Source organism: Homo sapiens, chromosome 9 (assembly GCF_000001405.40).
Source record: "Homo sapiens chromosome 9, GRCh38.p14 Primary Assembly".
Lineage (NCBI taxonomy): Eukaryota > Metazoa > Chordata > Mammalia > Primates > Hominidae > Homo > Homo sapiens.
Window position 1 is genome coordinate 70212390 of NC_000009.12, and position 19585 is coordinate 70231974.

At 38.3% G+C, this 19585-nt stretch overlaps 1 protein-coding gene, 1 long non-coding RNA gene and 1 pseudogene across 3 annotated transcripts in view; 2 read left to right on the forward strand and 1 right to left on the reverse strand.

The window, feature by feature from the left end:
- Positions 1-14583, forward strand: part of MAMDC2 (MAM domain containing 2) — a 183392-nt gene extending 168809 nt beyond the window's left edge. For both annotated transcript variants that reach the window (NR_125850.1, NM_153267.5), the window contains exons 12-14: positions 5948-6207; positions 13361-13445; positions 13579-14583. Coding sequence is in view for 1 of the 2 variants with exons in the window: in NM_153267.5 (NP_694999.3) it covers positions 5948-6207; positions 13361-13445; positions 13579-13643 (410 nt within the window). In the remaining variant the exon portion in view is untranslated. The remainder of the gene's footprint in view (positions 1-5947; positions 6208-13360; positions 13446-13578) is intronic.
- Positions 3670-19585, reverse strand: part of SMC5-DT (SMC5 divergent transcript) — a 42816-nt gene continuing 26900 nt past the window's right edge. Inside the window, exons 3-4 of the long non-coding RNA NR_039990.1 lie at positions 16825-17000; positions 3670-4032 (exon numbers count right to left, since the gene is read on the reverse strand). This is a non-coding gene — a long non-coding RNA (SMC5 divergent transcript). The remainder of the gene's footprint in view (positions 4033-16824; positions 17001-19585) is intronic.
- On the forward strand, positions 4768-5317 carry RPL24P8 (RPL24 pseudogene 8; annotated as a pseudogene).

Below are 19585 nucleotides of genomic sequence, written 5' to 3' on the forward strand. Positions count from 1 at the left end.
AGTGAGCGAGGCTCTGTGGGTTTGGGACCCTCTGAGCCAGGCACGGGATATAATCTCCTGGTGTGCCATTTGCTAAGACTGTTGGAAAAGTGCAGTATTAGAGTGGGAGTGTCCTGATTTTCCAGGTTTCCCTTGTCACGGCTTCCCTTGGCTAGGAAAGGGAATTCTGCGACCCCTTGCGCTTTCCGGGTGAGGTGATGCCCCACCCTGCTTCAGCTCACACTCCGTGGGCTGCATCCGCTGTCCAATAAGCCCCAGTGAGATGAACCCAGTACCTCAGTTGGAAATGCAGAAATCACCCGTCTTCTGCGTCACTCATGCTGGGAGCTGTAGACTGTAGCTGTTCCTATTTGGCCATCTTGGAACCTCCTCCTATTTTATGGTACTAAATACAAAGGTTCCTGGAACTGGAAACCTTAGTGAATAGTTTCAGCCTGATACCTGTGGCCCAGGGGCACATGAACTGAAAGCATAGTAGACTTCAGGAGTCACATCTGTAGAGATGTGTGTGGTCCAAAGAACAGATGGTTAGAGGAGGCTGTGCAGGCTATCCCTGATTTAGTTAGAGTCCAAACCTGTTGGGAAGAACTGGTCAACCAGACTAGTGCTTCACCCTCACAAACTAAATGAATTAGTCCATTGTGCCCATGAAAGAAAGAAGTCAATCGAATGATCCTGGGGATAATTAAGAGGTTTCCTCTCTTCCAGGACCTCAGAATAATCCTGGTCAAGACTTGTACTGTTACCAGTAGGAATGCACAGCCATGATCACTAAACAAAAGACAATTCTTAGGTCATCTCTCTCATGATGAATTCATTACTTCCCCTCCATTTTGAAAATACTTCATGTTTCAGGGCCCTTAGTCTCTACTTTCCACTTTCCCAGTGACAGCATCTTTCAGTGGAGCTTTTTCCCCTCATTGAGAATTTCATCTATAGCTAAGGTCCTTTACTTTGGATTCAGGTGGGCCTTTTCAGAGCTCCATAGCCAGGTGTGAACATTTTTTTCTTGTCTTAAAAATTACTTTTGGGATGAATTTTTTTTAAGCTAAATGTATTAGGGTATTGTTTCCATCTACCATGTTACTAACTTATGTGTAGGATAGCATTGGATTCCTTTGTACATAGTTAGGTGATATACTATGGTCATTTTCATGCCTTGATCTCTCTTTCCATGGAATTAAACACACCCTTCTGTTAGGATTATGTATATCTGTATTGTTTACATTGACCTAAGTTAGAAAATGTTAAAGAAAATATGTACAAAAGAAAAAGTTTCCTTTCATCATTGAATGTGCAAAACCCCCTGTGCTTCTTGTGGACCAATTTGCTTGCCAGTGAAAGAATGAAGGTAATGAACTCAAAGAAAGAATTATGTGTTCATCTAAAAAATACTTCAGATAGTGTAGAACTTGTCTGAGATGATTTGCTTTGATAAGACTTTAATTTTACCAAAACTGGGATTTGCTCTAGTTTGCCTTGGATCATCATAGTCAAGTGCATATCTCACCGCCAAGAACTTCACACATTTGGAGTGACTACGGTGGAGCCATGTGCCCTAGAAATGGTCAAACTGGTTTGTGCTTAGAGCTGTGGGAAAAAATGCATTCATTCATCCATTCAACAGATATTAATGAGCATTTACTATGTTCCAAGCACTGTTCTAGGACCTGGGAATGTGGCAGTGAACTAAACAAGAAAAAAAATCTCTGTCCTTGTGAATTCTAAAGGAAAGAGACAGGCAAACATAAAAATAAGAAAATTATACAGTATGTTAAGAGGCAATTAACTATGGAAAACATAAATTAGGGTATAAGGAATGAGGAGTGCCAGGGAAGAGGGACTGCAATTTGGAATAGTATAGTCAGAACAGGTCTAATAGAAAAGGTGACATCTGAGCAAAGACTTAAAGGAGGTAAGAGAGTGAGACCTGAGAATATCTAGAGGAAGAACCAGACTTAGCACATGCAAAGGCCTTCAGGCAGCAGCATACCTGCCATATTCCAGGAATAATACAAAGGCCAGTGTGGCCAAGCAACACAGTAAGTGAGGAGAAAGCCAGTAGGAATGAGACAGGTAAGAGAATAGGTGGGAGACTGTATGGGGTTCTAAAGCCAATTGTAAGGACTTTAGCTTTCACTCTGAAATGCTAACCCAGTGGAAGGTTTTAAATGAGTGGTATGATTTTGCTTTTGCTTTAGAAGGAGCACTATGAATACAATTTTGAGATGAGATTGCAGGGGACCAGAGTAGAAGCAGACAGAGTAGTTGGGAAGCTGTTGCATTAATCCAAGCGAGAAATGATAGCAGCTTGGACCAGGGTGATAGCAGTGGAGGCGGTAAGAAGAGAAGTGACTGGATTCTGGATATATTTTAAAGGTAGAGCCAGTGGGAATTCCTGATAGCCTTGATGTGGAGAATCAGAAAAAGAGAGTAGTGGTGTGCGACTCACAGGTTTTGGGTGTCAACGACTGGATATTTAGTCTACTTCAGGCTGTCAGGAAGTTGAGTTTTGAATATGCTCAGTGTGAGATGTCTACCTGACAGTAAGTGGAGATGTCCATTAGACAGTTTGAACAAGTCTAGATTTCAGCAAAAAGGTTGAAAATTTGAGTTTGAGATATAACATATTTGGTATTTAAAGCCCTGAAACAAGATGAGATCATCAAGGAAGTAAGAATAGCGAAGTAAAAACTGGACCTTGGGGCACTCCAGGGTCAAAAGGTCAGGAAAGAGAGAGTGGAATTGTGAAAAAAGTGACCAGCAAAGGAGTCACCAGTGAGGAAGGAGAAAAAGCAGGAGAATACAGTGTCTTGCAAGCCAACGTAAGAATGTAATTCTACTTTCTGAAGTGGTAAACCACTATGTCCAATGTTACAAAAATGACAAAGACTGAAAACTGACCACTCGAGTTCGTAATGAGGATGTCACTGGTGAGCACTGCAGAACACTGACAGGTTTTTTTGCTATTATTTTTGAGCAGATCATGGGAAAGTTGGCAGCTATGCCATTTCCCTTAAGCATGCATCTGGATGAAACTACTGCCAATGAGATGAAAAGTTGAAGTTGACTGGATGTCAAATGTAACATACCAGATCAAAGACACTCCCACAATTTCAATTTCTTATTTAAACCAATTAGCTTTCTAATTAAAATTTACTTTTGAACTGCACTGAAATATATGTAGTCTTTAGAGTATCCTAAAGGAGGTTTTGATTTCTACTTGTTCACTGCATTCAGGAATCCCCAGCTAGTGGAGCCTATGGTGGCACCATGCCTTGTTAACAGGCAACCTGAAGTGACAGACACAGAACTCTGCTCTGATTTTGCTTCTTTGGGGCAGCGTCATTCCTTATATGTGACTGGTTGATGCAGGCCATATCCTGAGTCAGCCCAGTTTTGCAGGGTGAGAACTTTATAGAGTAAAACAAACACTGGGGGAAGAGGTTGCACAGTGCACACAATTTATTAAGACCAACGATGCTTTCTCCCACTGTTTTAATAAACTTATAGAACTTCTCAGATTTGTGTTTGTAGAAATAAGAAAAAGAGAATGGAGAAAGGCCTCCCAGGCACATAGAGGGGACTTCTAACCAATTCTTGTTTGGATGTCTCGATTGCCATATTTTTGGAAATGATTAATTAGAGTTCATTGATTAAACTTCAAACTATAAAGAAACCATTTAATTTGCATGTATTATTTGGGATCTCTTTATTTTTCCCCTTGATTTGGTCACCAATTTCTGCATGAAATAATGAGACATATGATACTTTGTAAAGATTACTTTTTACATCATATATGTAAAAAATAAATCAAAATTGGCAAATGTTGGTGTTTGCTTGGGCTGCCATAACAAAATATCATAGACTAGGTGGTTTAAACAACAGAAACTTACCTCTCACAGTTGTGGAGGCTGGAAAGTCCAACATCAAGGTGCCAGCTGTTTCAGTTCCTGGTGAGGGCTCTTTTCCTAGTTTGCAGACAGGCACCATCTTGCTGTGTGCCCACATGGCCTTTCTTGGTGTGTGCGCCTGAAGAGAGAGAGAGAACAAGCTCCCTGCTGTCTCTTCTTATAAGGGCACTATTGTCATCAGGAGGGCTTCAGCCTCATGACCTCATCTAGCCCTAATTAGCTCCCCAGTGCCCCATCTCCAATTACTATCACACAAGGGGTAGGGCTTCAACATATGAATTTGGGGAGACACATACATCCATTCCAAACACAAATGTAACACCAAACAAGGCAACAAAGTTGCATGCAAACTTTCTTTGTGTACTTTTCAAATAGAGGCAGTCTAAACTTTTCATCAAGTGATCAAAGGTTAATACCTACTAGTGAAGAGTTTAGGGCCTTTTTTAAAATGGGCCTCAGATGCACAGAATTATATTACCAGTGAATTACTCTAGAAAAGATCTCTTGCATTACTATTCATATATAGTTTTACTTCAGTGACATGATAGTGATTGTTTAACACCAACTGGCTTTGAGAAGGATGTACTGACTTGTATACATGTCCAATTTCTGTAGTTTAAATAGTCCCATCATGGCCCAGTTCCAGCTACCAATGTGAAATCACCTGGAGCTCGGACAGAATGCATACAATGGACTATTGGAAGCCCGTACAAGTTGGCTGCAGCACACCACTGCCTTATCTACATGCCGATTAATCCTGTTTCTGCCTGAAGCCAATAAATTTAAAAATAGCAATAAAATAAAATTAGAAAAGGAAATTGGAAAGGCAATTTAAAAATATTACAGAATATGGCTCTTCGCCATCTTTTCTCTTCCCGTGGAGCCGTCGCCACGAAGGTCGAGCTGTGCAGTTTTAGTGGGTACAAGATCTACCCGGGACAGGGGAGGCACTACGCCAGGACCGACGGGAAGGTTTTCGAGTTTCTTAATGCGAAATGCGAGTCGGCATTCCTTTCCAAGAGGAATCCTTGGCAGATAAACTGGACTGTCCTCCACAGAAGGAAGCACAAAAAGGGAGAGTCGGAAGAAATTCAAAAGAAAAGAACCCACCCAGCAGTCAAATTCCAGAGGGCCATTACTGGTGCATCTCTTGCTGATATAATGGCCAAGAGGAATCAGAAACCTTAAGTTAGAAAGGCTCAACGAGAACAAGCTATCAGGGCTGCTAAGGAAGCAAAAAAGGCTAAGCAAGCATCTAAAAAGACTGCAATGGCTACTGCTAAGGCACCTACAAAGGCAGCACCTAAGCAAAAGATTGTGAAGCCTGTGAAAGTTTCAGCTCCCCAAGTTGGTGGAAAACGCTAAACTGGCAGATTAGATTTTTAAATAAAGATTGGATTATATTTAAAAAAATTACAGAGTATGTTTTCAAAACTAAAAAAAAGTGTCACAAAAAGTTTTAGGAATTAAGTAGGACAGGAAACAAATAATGGAATATGCATAACATGTGAGCATATGTCATTATGTTATTTAATTCTCACAATTCTGTAGCATAGGTATTAACCCTTATCTTAAAATGATGAATGTAAGTTTAGAGATTATTCATTAGACCAGAATCACATAAACAACAAATATTATAGTCAAGACTTGAACCCAGATCTACCTGACTACAAAACCCACCCTCTCTTTCTCTCCAAACCAACGTCTGGAAGCTTTAGGATATTGTCCATGAATAAGTAATATAAATTCTGATGTGTTAATCACTGTATCAGTGGCATAATACTGGTATATTAATTACCTCTTGTATATTAAACTGAATTATAAATCATTAAATTTAAGAAATCATTTTGTTGGTCTCATTTTTGGAAGTTATTCATTCTCCTTAGATAATATGCATTCTTCAAAATTATAAAACCCTTTATCAGTACTTTTAGTCAGATCATCTTGACTTGACACTCTGAAAGAACATTATGAAAGGAGAAAATGTAATTTGTGTCCTTTTTAACAATACCTGCTTTTGCATTCACCTCAAGGCTACTACATGTACATTGAGGCCTCCCATATGGTGTATGGACAAAAAGCACGCCTCTTGTCCAGGCCTCTGCGAGGAGTCTCTGGAAAACACTGCTTGACCTTTTTCTACCACATGTATGGAGGGGGCACTGGCCTGCTGAGTGTTTATCTGAAAAAGGAAGAAGACAGTGAAGAGTCCCTCTTATGGAGGAGAAGAGGTGAACAGAGCATTTCCTGGCTACGAGCACTGATTGAATACAGCTGTGAGAGGCAACACCAGGTAAGCCAACAGAGATAAGAACTAAGCAATGGAAAACGTGTAGGAGCTTCTGATGTTCTTTCTTATTCTTGCTACCAAAGAGAATATTTTGTTCTTTTTCAGGGTCATAGACAAAGGCAGGATTAAGAGGGAGTAAACATAATTAGTCTATACATTGATTAAATCTAAGCAGTGACAGGGAGAGAAAGCTTTGAGAATTTATGCATAAAGTGATTTTCTTGCAGTTCTATGATAAAAGTATATCTATTTTTGTCTTGATACATTATGGGTGTCAAGTATATTTCTATGTATCATGCATATCTCCAAAACGAAGTCTTTTCTTCTAAATATGGTATTACCTAATTAGTTGCAGCTGCATCTTTTACTCATCATTACTCACATACATCTAAGAGCTTTTGCCTTAAGCCTCTATTTAACAGTGAGCATGGTCCAGAGTAAGTTTTGTTTTTTTAATGCCTCTGCCTCCATCACTGCATTGATGCAAAAGAAACTGAGAGACTTGATCCTCAGTCCTGGGTCTCCCCCAGGTCCTCTCATGTGCTATAGAAGATGTCCATCCTAGATGTTCTCTATCATAAAGGAATCTGGGCAGCAATAGGAAACACCCTTTTAAATTCTAGTAGGTAGGGGCTGAACAGCCAGTCTAGCCTGGAGAACCACACCTGCCTTCTGATAGCCACAGATTTTACCTGCCTACCATGAGCCAAAGCTCCAGAAAGCTGTGGGAGATGATAACGTTCAGATTTCTGACTGTTCTTAAAATTGCTCTGTAGAATTCTCAAGTGTGACCTCCAACTAAAGGCACACCTTCCTACTCATTCTTACTTCTGGCTGATAAACCTCCTGGACCAGCACTCTGCGTCTTTAACCACTGGCTGCCTTGTCTAAACCCAGATCTTCCTGGGAAGGGATATCCAAATTAAGGGTTTTATTTTGCACCAACCTATGACCAAAAATAATTTTCTACAGATATAAATGGGAAGGAATTGCAGAAGCTCAGATGGCCAAGTTGCAGTGCAGTCAAAGGTGCTACATTGTTAAAGAGCAAATGACAGGGAAGATGAGCCATTATCTGGGAAAGGCCCATTATCCCAACATGGATAAACACCTAGACATTTGGCAAAGAATAACAGGTAGCTTCAGGAATAATTTTATAGTGATTTAATGTCTGTTCGAAAGAAGAAAGTGGATGGCTCAGGAACTTACTAATATAATTGATCATTATTCAGAGATGATGGATTAATTTTGTTAGGCTATTAGGGTACTCCTTCTGTATTCAAATGGTTCTCAAAGTTTGGTCCAGGTACCAGCAGCATCAGCAATACCTGAAATGCAAATTCACTTGAAACACAAATTCACTTAAAATGCAAATTCTCAGGTCCCACTTTAAAACGAATGAATCAGAAACAGGATTTGGGGGCCCCAGAAATCTGTTTTAATAAGCCCTCCAGGTGAATCTGATGCATGCTAAAGGCAAAGAATCTCTATGCTAGACTAAATGAATCTAAATCTTTGGGGGTGACACCTGAGCACTGATTTTTTGTTCAACTCTCAAGCGATACTGATGCGCAAGTGCTCTAAGATTTGAGTTCTGGGGACAGGTAACTTATCAGCATCTAGGCCTTGGGGATCAGACACATGGCCTTGCATATAATAGACTTACTGGGGAGGTAGTTATTTGAAATGTTTTTTGAGTACAGAGTAGTGTGGCATCTGAAATGGCATTTAGGGCTCTTCAAATGATGCAGAATCGCCCTGGAGACTTCCAGCTCACAGTCTGGGAAGAAGACTCCAGAATCCTCCCCCTTGGCTTAGAATGGAACAGATAAGAATCTCCTCTGTGTTAGTGATTCCCTCAGGAATCCAAATGATGCCAGGGAGACCAGGCTGAACTAGTTGCTCCAAAACATCCTAGTGTCTAATAAAACAGATATACTCATGTGCACATAGATCAGCCATCTGCTACATGCCAGGCACTTACAGTGCTAAGAGCTGTACGTAAGTTCTTTCAACTGATCCTATTTCCCCATTTTACAGGTGGGGAAAAGTAAATGTCTGGCTGATAAGTGGCTGAATGAGAACCAGATCTGCATGGTTCCAAAGTTTGTATCCCTAAGCCACTGTTCTACACTGCCTCCTACCATAGAAGTTCCAAAATAATCCTCATTGGCCTGAAGGTCACAAGCACTGCATGATTTTGGAGATACCTTTTACACTCTGAGAGTTTATACATTCTCAAAATGGGGTAATAATTCCTAGTCAGCTGTGCTGACATTGCAGAGTTAGAGAGTCAAAGGAGATTATGTATGTGAAAGGGTTTTATAAACTTTAAAGTATCAAAATATTATCACTGTTCTACCAATATATTCTCACCTAAGTCTCCCTAGTCACTAATTCATATCACCGTGGCAGAACTGGTATTCTCAACAGCTACATCAGGCATCCAGACTGAGCTCCTGTTGTTTGAGACCAAAATATCTCATCTCAATAAGTACGTATTGTCCATTTACTATTCTAGGTGCTGAAGATACTGCAATGAATGTAATATATAAAGTTCTTATTTGTTTGGAATTTACATTCTAGTGGGGAGGACGTAGAAAATGCAAGCCAAGGCCGGGCACAGTGGCTCACATCTGTAATCCCAGCACTTCGGGAGGCCGAGGTGGGAGGATTGCCTGAGGCCAGGAGTTTGAGGTTTGAGATCAGCCTGGCAACATATTGAGACCCTGTCTCTAAAAAAAAAAGCAAGCCAAACAACAAATATATATATATATATATATATATAGAGAGAGAGAGAGAGAGAGAGAGAGAGTAACATCAGATAACAAGTGCTATGAAGAAGTCAAGCTGAGCTCATGGAAGTAGAGAGTAGAATGATGGTTACCAGAGGCTGGGGGAAGCAGGAGCAGGGAATGGGGAGTTGTTGGTCAAAGGCTACAAAGTTTCAGATAGACAAGAGGAATATGTTTTTGAGATTTGTTGAACACAGGATGACTACAGTCAATAATGTATTGTATATTTCAAAATAACTAAGAGAGTAAATTTCACATCTTATCACAAAAAAGTGATAAATAAGTGAGGTGACAGATATGTTAATTAGCTTGAGTTAATCATCCCACATTTTGTGTGTGTGTGTGTGTATATCACATTGTACCCCATAAAGGTATAAAATTGTGATTTATCAATTAAAAATAATATTAAGAAGAGGAAGGAAAATAAGAGGAAGAAGAAGTCAAGTTGATCAAGTGGTGAGGTCAAAGAAGTATTGTGATAATCATGAAAATCCTTAGAAGGTGTGGTAAAGAGTTTGAAATTTGTTCCAAAAGCAGTAAGAAGCCATCATACAGCTTTAAGGTAATATTATCTGATTTTGAAATGATCACTCCAGCTACTGCGTGTAAAGTATACTGCAATGGGACAAGGAGACTTTGGGGGCTGCTGCAGTAGCCCTGGCAAGAGGAGTGATGGCTTAGGCTATGCAGCAGAGGTGAGGAGATGTCATCAGAAGCCCACGAGACTTCTTATGTATAGAATGTGGAGTCTGAGGGAAAGGGAGACACCAAGATGACTCCAAAGCTTTTGGCATGAGCAATTGCTAAAATGAATTGAGATATCATTTATTGAGATGAGGAAGAGTTGAGACAGAGCAGACCTGGAGTGAGGGCAGTGTGTGCAGGAAGAAAATTAATAGACTTCTGGGGGGACATGTTAAGTTTTCTATGTCTATTAGAAATCCAAATGGTTGTAAGTAAATAATAGGATATGAGATGAGTTCAGGGAAGAGAACACAGTTAGGGAAGTAAATGTGTACAGCTTGAATGGGGGTGGGCAGGTAGAGATGGTATTTAGAGTGTGATAGTACTGCTGCCATTTGAGATTGATCCTATGGGGAAAATATGTGGGTGGCCTCCTAAAGGCATTCCACTCATTAGATCATCCCTGTGGGAAAAAGAAATGCATCAAACGGCAAATGTTTAATCATGCTCCTTCCTAAGGGATTTATTAGTGCTAAGCAGAAACTGACTCACTATTGATCAAAAGCACAAAATCATTCTATTTCCTTTGGATTCCCTGATTACCCCTCCTCCCCAGCTTTCATGACTTTTCCTCCTTGGTTTCTTAGATTTTTATGCCATTGAAGTAAAGTGTTATACAAATTCCCAGCTCACTGAAATATTTACATCAGTCATATTATTAATTATACTGCCTAACAGTTACTAGGAATTTCTATGCACTGCATACTCAGCTAAGACTCAGGTTGGCAGGGTGCGGTGGCTTACACCTATAATCCCAGCACTTTGGGAGGCTGAAGTAGGGGGATTTCTTGAGCCCAGGAGTTTGAGATCAGCCTGGACAGCATGGCAAAACCCTGTCTCCTCTAAAAGTACAAAAATTAGCCAGGTTTGGTGGTGCATGCCTGTAGCCCCAGCTACTAAGGCGCCTAAGGCAAGAGGATCACTTGAGCCCAGGAGGCAGAGGTTGCAGTGAGCTGATATCGCATCACTGCACTCCAGCTTGAGAGCAAGACTCTGTCTCAAAAAAAAAAAAAAAAAAAAAAAAAAAGATTCAGGTCTCCAAATTTTCTTGTTTATGATGCCCATAGTAATTTTTTCTTGGTGCCGCAATACCAGAAGAAACACCTAACAGTTTCATATATTAAGTATTTGGATTCAAACAACTTAAGTATTTATGTTCTAACAACTTAGTAGCCATCTGAAAAAATACTTAAAATAAAAATTAAGATTTTATCTAATTATTAACCAAAATTATGTACAAATAGAATGTATATACCTGTCGGGCACAAACTTCCCAAACCTTGGAATTAGATTGGATACACTACCCTTATTTTATGTTCCACATTGATTTCTACACAATGCTTGCTTTTAATTGTAGCAGCTACCAAAAAACTCAGCTCTATGAAGATATGTTATCAAAAGCAATACAGGACAATCCCATGTTAAAACTTTGAATGACATTGAGCTAGCAGTTCACATGGTGTCTGCTAAGTATTGAATATTGCCATGTTTCCCTTAAAATTTCAAACTATCCACAGCACCCCATGAATGTACTTGGGCACCCTGGGGCACCTCAGCACACACTTTGGGAACCAAGGACATATATGATCTTATTTAATCCTACATTTGTTATGTCTATTATCTAAATAAACAAGTATTTGCTCAGTAGCTATTTGATTTGGATAGATTTGGTTAGTCTTAAAGTGCAAAGATAAGTCAGCTTAATCCTATTGTCAATGTAGAAAAAGAAGAGGTATTACTACATATTTATAATACAAGGGGGAAATCATAGTACTATAAAATGGTGATCACTACTGTATTAAGAAATTTCAGAGGAGAAAGTTGTATAAAATCAAGTGTCTGGCCAAATCATAGACTATTCAGAATATAATTCCTTCAGGTAATTTTATTACTCTTTTCATTACAGACTTGAAGGCCAAAAAAACAGATTTTATTGTTGTTCAGAGAACCAAAATGCTTATTATGTGCACTCAGGTGTCCTTTTATCTAGGTGTGTTAGGACATTTTTTCCCTCTTCTTGCCACTTATTTGGATTCTTATTTAGCACTGTGTATTAATCAGTGTTCTCCAGAGAAACCGAACCAGTAAGAGGAGAAAGAGAGAGACAGACACAGAAGGTGAGAGAGATATGAAAGGGGATGTATTATAGAAATTGGCTCATATAATTATGAAGGCTGAGATGCTATATTCAAGCATCTCATTGTATATAGCAAAGGTTTCCATTGCTATATACAAGCTGGAGAACCAGGAAAGCTGGTACCATAGCTCAGTCCAAATCCCAAGGCCTGAGAACTAGAGAAGCCGATGGTATAACTATTAGTCTGCAGCCAAAGGCCTGAGAACCTAGGGTGCCACTGGTACAATTCCAGAAGTCTGAAGACTGAAGAACCTAGAGTTCTGATGTCCAAGGACAGAAGCAGACGGGTGTCCCAGTTACAGAAGAGAGAGCAAACTTGCTTCTCCTCTGCCTTTTTGTTCTATCTGCATCCTCAACCAATTTGATGGTCCCCACTCACATTGGGTGAGGACAGATCTTCCTTTCTCAGTCCACCAATTCAAACGCCAATCTCTTTCAGAAACACCCTCACATACATACTGAGAAATAATGCTTTACCAGCAATGTGGGTATCCCTTAACCCAGTCAAGTTGACACCTGAAATCCACCATCACGAGTTGGATCCTTAGCATTTTTATTAAGAGTATTTTGCCACCAGTCTGTCACTGAAGCATCTTTGAAACATTAATTTCAAGATAACTTTATAAACATATTATTTAATTTATATTCTTTAATTTTAGGGAGGGTTTAAATAAAATTTAAGGTCTTTCTTTTTTATTTAAATTATAAACTACTCCAATGAAGACTCACTTGCTTATAAAATGAATAGAGCAAATGTGTCTTCTGAACAACTTTCATTACCCATGGGCCTCCCTGGACTATTCAGTAATTTGTTAACCATTGTTGGGACAGCCTTAGAGCTGGTTAAGTAATCTATTTTTCCTACAACCACAATATCTGATCAGTTATTTTCTTCTCAGAATCTGAAGTTATAAAACTGATTCTCTCTTCTGCCTGAGCTGTGTCTTTGATGTTATGGTATTTAACATAAGTGAACCATTATCTTTGGTAAACTTCATCATTATGCTTTTCTGTTCACACATGGGTATCATCGGTCATATTAAATTTTTCCACCTCGTAGCAGTATCAAAGGTAGATTTATGGAGTGCTAAAGGAAATTTAAATTTCTGAGCCCCTCACTTTCACAGACCCTGTGTGGGTGCTGGGGGATGCTGGGAGAAGAGTGTTCCAATTGGGAAGAGGAAACCAGGTTACCACCAAGAAGCATTTCTAGGCAAGCATTTCTGGGAAATTGCCTAAAGAGATCTCAGAAGACAGGGACCTGAATCTTCAAGGCTTCAGTAATTTATTGTGTTTCTTTAAATTCCAAATAAATATTCTCTTTAATACCTAGATTTCAATTTGTAATTTGGTATCCTTTTCCTTAAAGGGATCCTCAAGAGCAATCTACGTTTTCATATTTACAAAGCCTGGATCTGCCCTGACCAGCACTGTAATCAGGATGATTCTATTTCTAAATTCAAACATATTATTCTTTCAGATAATTTTTGAAGCCATTCGAGGAGTATCAATAAGAAGTGATATTGCCATTGATGATGTTAAATTTCAGGCAGGACCCTGTGGAGGTAATATTTTTTCCCAATCATATAAGCTTGACTGAAAATGGACTTTGCGATACTGTCTCAAACTACAAGAATACAAATTAAATATTTTTCTATAATAAAAATACTGTTATTGTATATTTGTCTTTCCTGACAGAAATGGAAGATACAACTCAACAATCATCAGGATATTCTGAGGACTTAAATGAAATTGAGTATTAAGAAATGATCTGCATTGGATTTACTAGACGAAAACCATACCTCTCTTCAATCAAAATGAAAACAAAGCAAATGAATACTGGACAGTCTTAACAATTTTATAAGTTATAAAATGACTTTAGAGCACCCTCCTTCATTACTTTTGCAAAAACATACTGACTCAGGGCTCTTTTTTTCTTTTTGCATATGACAACTGTTACTAGAAATACAGGCTACTGGTTTTGCATAGATCATTCATCTTAATTTTGGTACCAGTTAAAAATACAAATGTACTATATTGTAGTCATTTTAAAGTACACAAAGGGCACAATCAAAATGAGATGCACTCATTTAAATCTGCATTCAGTGAATGTATTGGGAGAAAAATAGGTCTTGCAGGTTTCCTTTTGAATTTTAAGTATCATAAATATTTTTAAAGTAAATAATACGGGGTGTCAGTAATATCTGCAGAATGAATGCAGTCTTTCATGCTAATGAGTTAGTCTGGAAAAATAAAGTCTTATTTTCTATGTTTTATTCATAGAAATGGAGTATTAATTTTTAATATTTTCACCATATGTGATAACAAAGGATCTTTCATGAATGTCCAAGGGTAAGTCAGTATTAATTAATGCTGTATTACAAGGCAATGCTACCTTCTTTATTCCCCCTTTGAACTACCTTTGAAGTCACTATGAGCACATGGATAGAAATTTAACTTTTTTTTGTAAAGCAAGCTTAAAATGTTTATGTATACATACCCAGCAACTTTTATAAATGTGTTAAACAATTTTACTGATTTTTATAATAAATATTTTGGTAAGATTTTGAATAATATGAATTCAGGCAGATATACTAAACTGCTTTTATTTACTTGTTTAGAAAATTGTATATATATGTTTGTGTATCCTAACAGCTGCTATGAAATTATAAAATTACCTAATAAAAATAATTTGAAAATCTTTTCACTAGCAATTAACTCATTTCTACATTATTTGTCTTTATCAGAGTATCTTCACTACAACACTGCAGATTCTAATTTGAATCTCTACTCTGCCACAACAAAATGCTTAAGCCTTTTTATTAGTGACATAAGCACTCTATACATTAATATAATAATTATTACTTTTTTCTCTTAATTTTCCCTTACCTCTTTTTACTCCACTGATACAATAATTTTTATAGCATGCTTTATTTCACATAGACAATCTCAATTTTTTATCTCATTAGAATGTAAACTCTATATCCTAACATGGAGTACAACATTTCTTGCTGTTTTGTTTACTTTTGTATTCTCAGTACCCAGAAAGTGTCTGGTATAGTAAGTGTGCAACAAAAAAATACTTGAATGAATGAATGTCTTTCCCACTTCTGTGAGATGGAAATATTTTAGCTCTTTCACAGATAAGGAAACAGAGTCTCAAAAGAGTGAAGAAATTACTCAAGATTTTGTATCTGTTAAATGGAGGAATTTAAGAGTCTGGTCTGATTCAAAGGCTCATACCTCTTTACTACTTTAGCCAAAAGTCCATTGTTTTCTTGAAGTTGGGAGGGTTTCCCACTCAAGAGTGTCCAAACTCATAAATTAATCTATTAAGAGCATTATCTTTCTGAATGCAAAGAAAACAAAAAATTCTCAGCTACACAAAATAAATATTCTGAAGTTTATGGAGAAAATAAAATTTTATAATAAAACAAAATTTTGCAAATGAAATTCTTTCTATTTATGATTAACTGCCTATAGTGGAGGAAATCCCTAAACAGAGCTGAAACATTGGGGAAGGAAGATTTCAAGATGTTGACCTATTCAGCTGCGTACTAGGCTAGGCATCATAATTCCTCCAAAGCATTATTCCTGTCCAGAGCTATCAATAAGAAGTGATATTGCCATTGATGATGTTAAATTTCAGGCAGGACCCTGTGGAGGTAATATTTTTTCCCAATCATATAAGCTTGACTGAAAACGGACTTTGCGATACTGTCTCAAACTACAAGAATACAAATTAAATATTTTTCTATAATAAAAATACTGTTATTTGCTGAATTACTGTATTTGCTGAATTAAGGAGTGAAGATTGCATATTCAGGACTCAACACAGTATCTGGTACCTAGTAAGGGGGTTATAATATGTGGTGAGTGAATAAAGTCATTCACCAGCCTCCTTGCTGGTAACATAAATCCATAGTAATAATCACAGCTAACATTTGTTGAATACTATTTTCAGACATTGTTCAAAGAGTCTGTTTCGCTGACACAGCTGTGTTTTTATCCTTACAAGGTCACCTCCTGAACGTGCCAGCTCTCCTACCAGCTCCATCCTCAATGTCAATTTACACTCTAGGCAAAGATTCCAAGTTTCCCTCTTTCAACAGGATTTATTGGCTACCAAAATTGCCTCTAAGGTTGCTAAACTGGGAATCCTACTAGGGATGCCAACTTTGGAAATTGGGGGAAAAGAGGGTGGGGGTTGGGGTACTGGATATTGGCTTAGAGCAGAAAAGGAGGTAATTCTTACCAGTTGTTGCTAAGAAACAACCTGAAGTTAATCTAAGAGAAAAAAAGGAGGTGGAAAGTGAGCTGCTTAACTCCCCTTCCCTCATTTATGCTTCTTCGACAAAATTCGATTGTTTGATGCTTCTTTTCCCTTTCCAAGTTGCCTTTGGCATTCATTTCAACTATATTTCACCTTCATTTTAACTATATTTCACATGGATGAATACATGGAAGGACAGTAAGCACATTATAGGTTTCTCAGGTTTAGAAATGCCCAGGGAGAAGAAATGCTAGCTAACAGATACTGCTTAACAATTTAAGCCCAGTGTTGGCTTTTATTGCAATTCTCAGCAGCACCTAAACACACAAGTGCTTCAAATAGAAATTGCTTTCTCACACAGATTGCCTTCTCTCCTATAATTTCCTGTCTAGGATGGAGATTATTTGTGTATAGAAGGGAGTGAAGGACTGAATACTGAGAAAATAGTGCCTGTGATGCAAGGTCTGGTTTAATATGGAGGAAGAAAAGGTTCAACAAAGATTTCTTGAGAAATCTATGCTCCAGGCATTGTACGGAGCATGGAGGTTACAAAAATGCTCACAGATTAGTGAGGGAGAGAGAGAGAAACCAGTCAACACAGTTCGGAGTGCTAAGTACAAAACGGCCATATGCCCAGGGTGCTATGGGAGGGCCTCTTGGGGGAATCTGACCTGGCAGGGCAGAGGCAGCCTCCTGGCTGCAGTCTAGGGAGAGCAGTGGAAAGCAGCAGTGCCCACTCGCACAGTGTCCCTGATGCCTTCATGTCTTCTCTCACACTCTGAGGGCTAAGACCTGGGCTCTGTGACTTCTTGGTCTCATGCCAGGGACTTGTGTGATTTAACCAGAACTGGAAAAAAAAAAAAAAAAAACCCTGAGTTTTTGTAACTAATAATTCTAATGACACTGCATTTTCAACATATGGATTACTATAAAGAGGTAATATGGCACAGTGATTAAGGACCCTGTTTCTGGATTTATGCTGTCTGTTTAAATCTCGGGTCTGCCACTTACAAGCTACGTGACTGAAGGCAAGTCATTTACACCCTCTCTGACTCCTTTTCTTAGTCTGCAAAATGGGGCAAAGACTTATTCCTGCTTCTTAGGTTGCTGCAAAGATTAAACGAGAATAATATGAGCACCTACAACAGTCTCAGACACACAGAAGCCATTCCAGTTTATAAGGTTTCAGTGAAATTTCAGATAAATATGGTGATTTTTATGTATTCTTTTTCTACGAAGGAATTGTGAGTTTACAGCGCCATCTTAAGGATAAAGCAAACATATAATCTTGTCATTTTATCATCTTTTTCTTTATTACTCACAGTACAACTCATTTTGACTAGTAGCTGGGTAATGCTTTCCCCTGTGTTCTTCCCACTCCACTTGCCCCTAGCAAAATCCCACTTGCCCCTAGCAAAATCCCACTTGCCCCTAGCAAAATGTACCATTGCTAAAGCTAACTTCTTGTTTATCTCCTCAAGAATGCTCACTTACTCAGTTTTGTACCCCCACTGCCTAGCATACTCAACAAAGATTTCTGGATTAAATAAACAAATGCTTAGTAAAAGCATTTCGTTTAGTACAAACATGCATGTAGGTTTCAAAAATCACAAGGAATATAATGGTGCTCTTTGATCCATCACAATTTCACTGGTCATTTTAATATATTTGTCTGGACATTACTCTCCCCAGATAATCCCAGCCTCTAACATTTCATAAACGAACCAGGCTGCACCGTGAATACTTGTATATTTAAAAATACACGGTGAATTCGAACCCAAATCAAAAACCCCACTGACTATTAAAAAAATATGGCAAGAAAGGGTGGGGGGAAATGGAAAACAGATACATAAAGGCAGGTGAGTGAAACATCACAATGTATACCTATTGATATCATATAAACATATTGCTTATTCAAAAAATTAACAAACATGGCAAGATTTATATGCTTAAGAACATGAAGGTATTCTATGTGGCAAAATAAATTATCTAAACGCTGCCCCATTCCCCTATATACATGTGTACACATACACACACAAGACAAAACATTTAAAAATTCTTGGTGAAATTTGACGACCTTTATTGTAAATGAATACCTAAGCTGGTAGGAAAGTAAGGGAAATGTCCAGACACCCTCTGCAACCCCTCCTCTGCTTTGAAAAAGAGAACTGAAAAGCAGAGATATAAGTACATAAGCTGACGCTATAGCTACCTGGAGGGAGGTTGTCAGTCTTGGTAACCTGGGGGCTTAGGCTCTTAAGCCATAAAGGGATCAGAAAAGAGCCTGCCAAGGGTGGGGAGGATAGAACAGAGACTTCACAAATAAGCCCAAGACTCTTGAAGAGCTACATTTTTACTAAAAGGGTAAATCCAGACAATAAAATAAAAATAGAAATCTTCCTTCAGCACAGGGAGATTGGTAGGATGCCAACTCTTCTCCATTTAGACTGTGGTATGGGGGATAGGAGTTCTTCCTTGAGAATTCCTAGTTATATTACACAAATTTAGAGTGCAAAATTACCCTGACCTCATGATCTGGGAATCCACAAGCTCAAAGTTTAATGTGAGAATATGTCCCTGGCCAGTGATATTCTTGGGGCACCTGGTTGAAATTAATATAAAATTCTTTAGGGGACTGTGCACTCAACCTAGGCTGTGCAGAGTTCACACATATAAAACTGCACTAAAGAAAGCTCACAATCCAAAACTACAGAACGTTTTGTGAAAGAATCCACTAACAGCAAAAATCAGCTGCTAAGAAACAGAAGAATTATATACCCAAGACTTCATAAGATGAAAATTGTTTGTAGACACTTTAAGTATTTTTTAAAATGATTAGAAAAAGATATAACGAAGCCAATACTCTATGAAAATGCAGATAGTTTTTGTTTTCATTTTTGTTTTTGTTTTGAGAGAGAGTCTTACTATGTTGCCCAGACTGGAGTACAGTGGCTATCCATAGGCACAATCATGGTGCACTATAGCCTGAAACTCTGGGCTTAAGTGATCCTCCTACCTCAGCCTTTCAAATAGCGGGGACTATAGGCACATGGCACTGCACCCAGCAAAAAGCAGGTAGATTTTTTAAAAACCGAATAGAACTTCTGCATATAATAAATAATAGTCATAAAATTAAAAATTCAGTGTGAAAGACAAACAAGCAATTAGCCATATCTAATAGAAAGAGAATGATGAACTGGAATACAAGGTAATAAAGCTGAGTACAGCACAGAGAGATAAAGAAATGGAAAACATGAAAAAGAATAGGAATGAGAGTCAATGTATTGAAATCAGTGACAGAAAAAGAGAATGGGGGAGAGGTAATGCTCAAAGGGAGAATATTTGAGACTGTTTCAGAATTGATTATAGACAAAAATGTTCAAAATCATGAAGTTCAGTAAATTCTGAGCAATATAAATAAAAATAAATCTA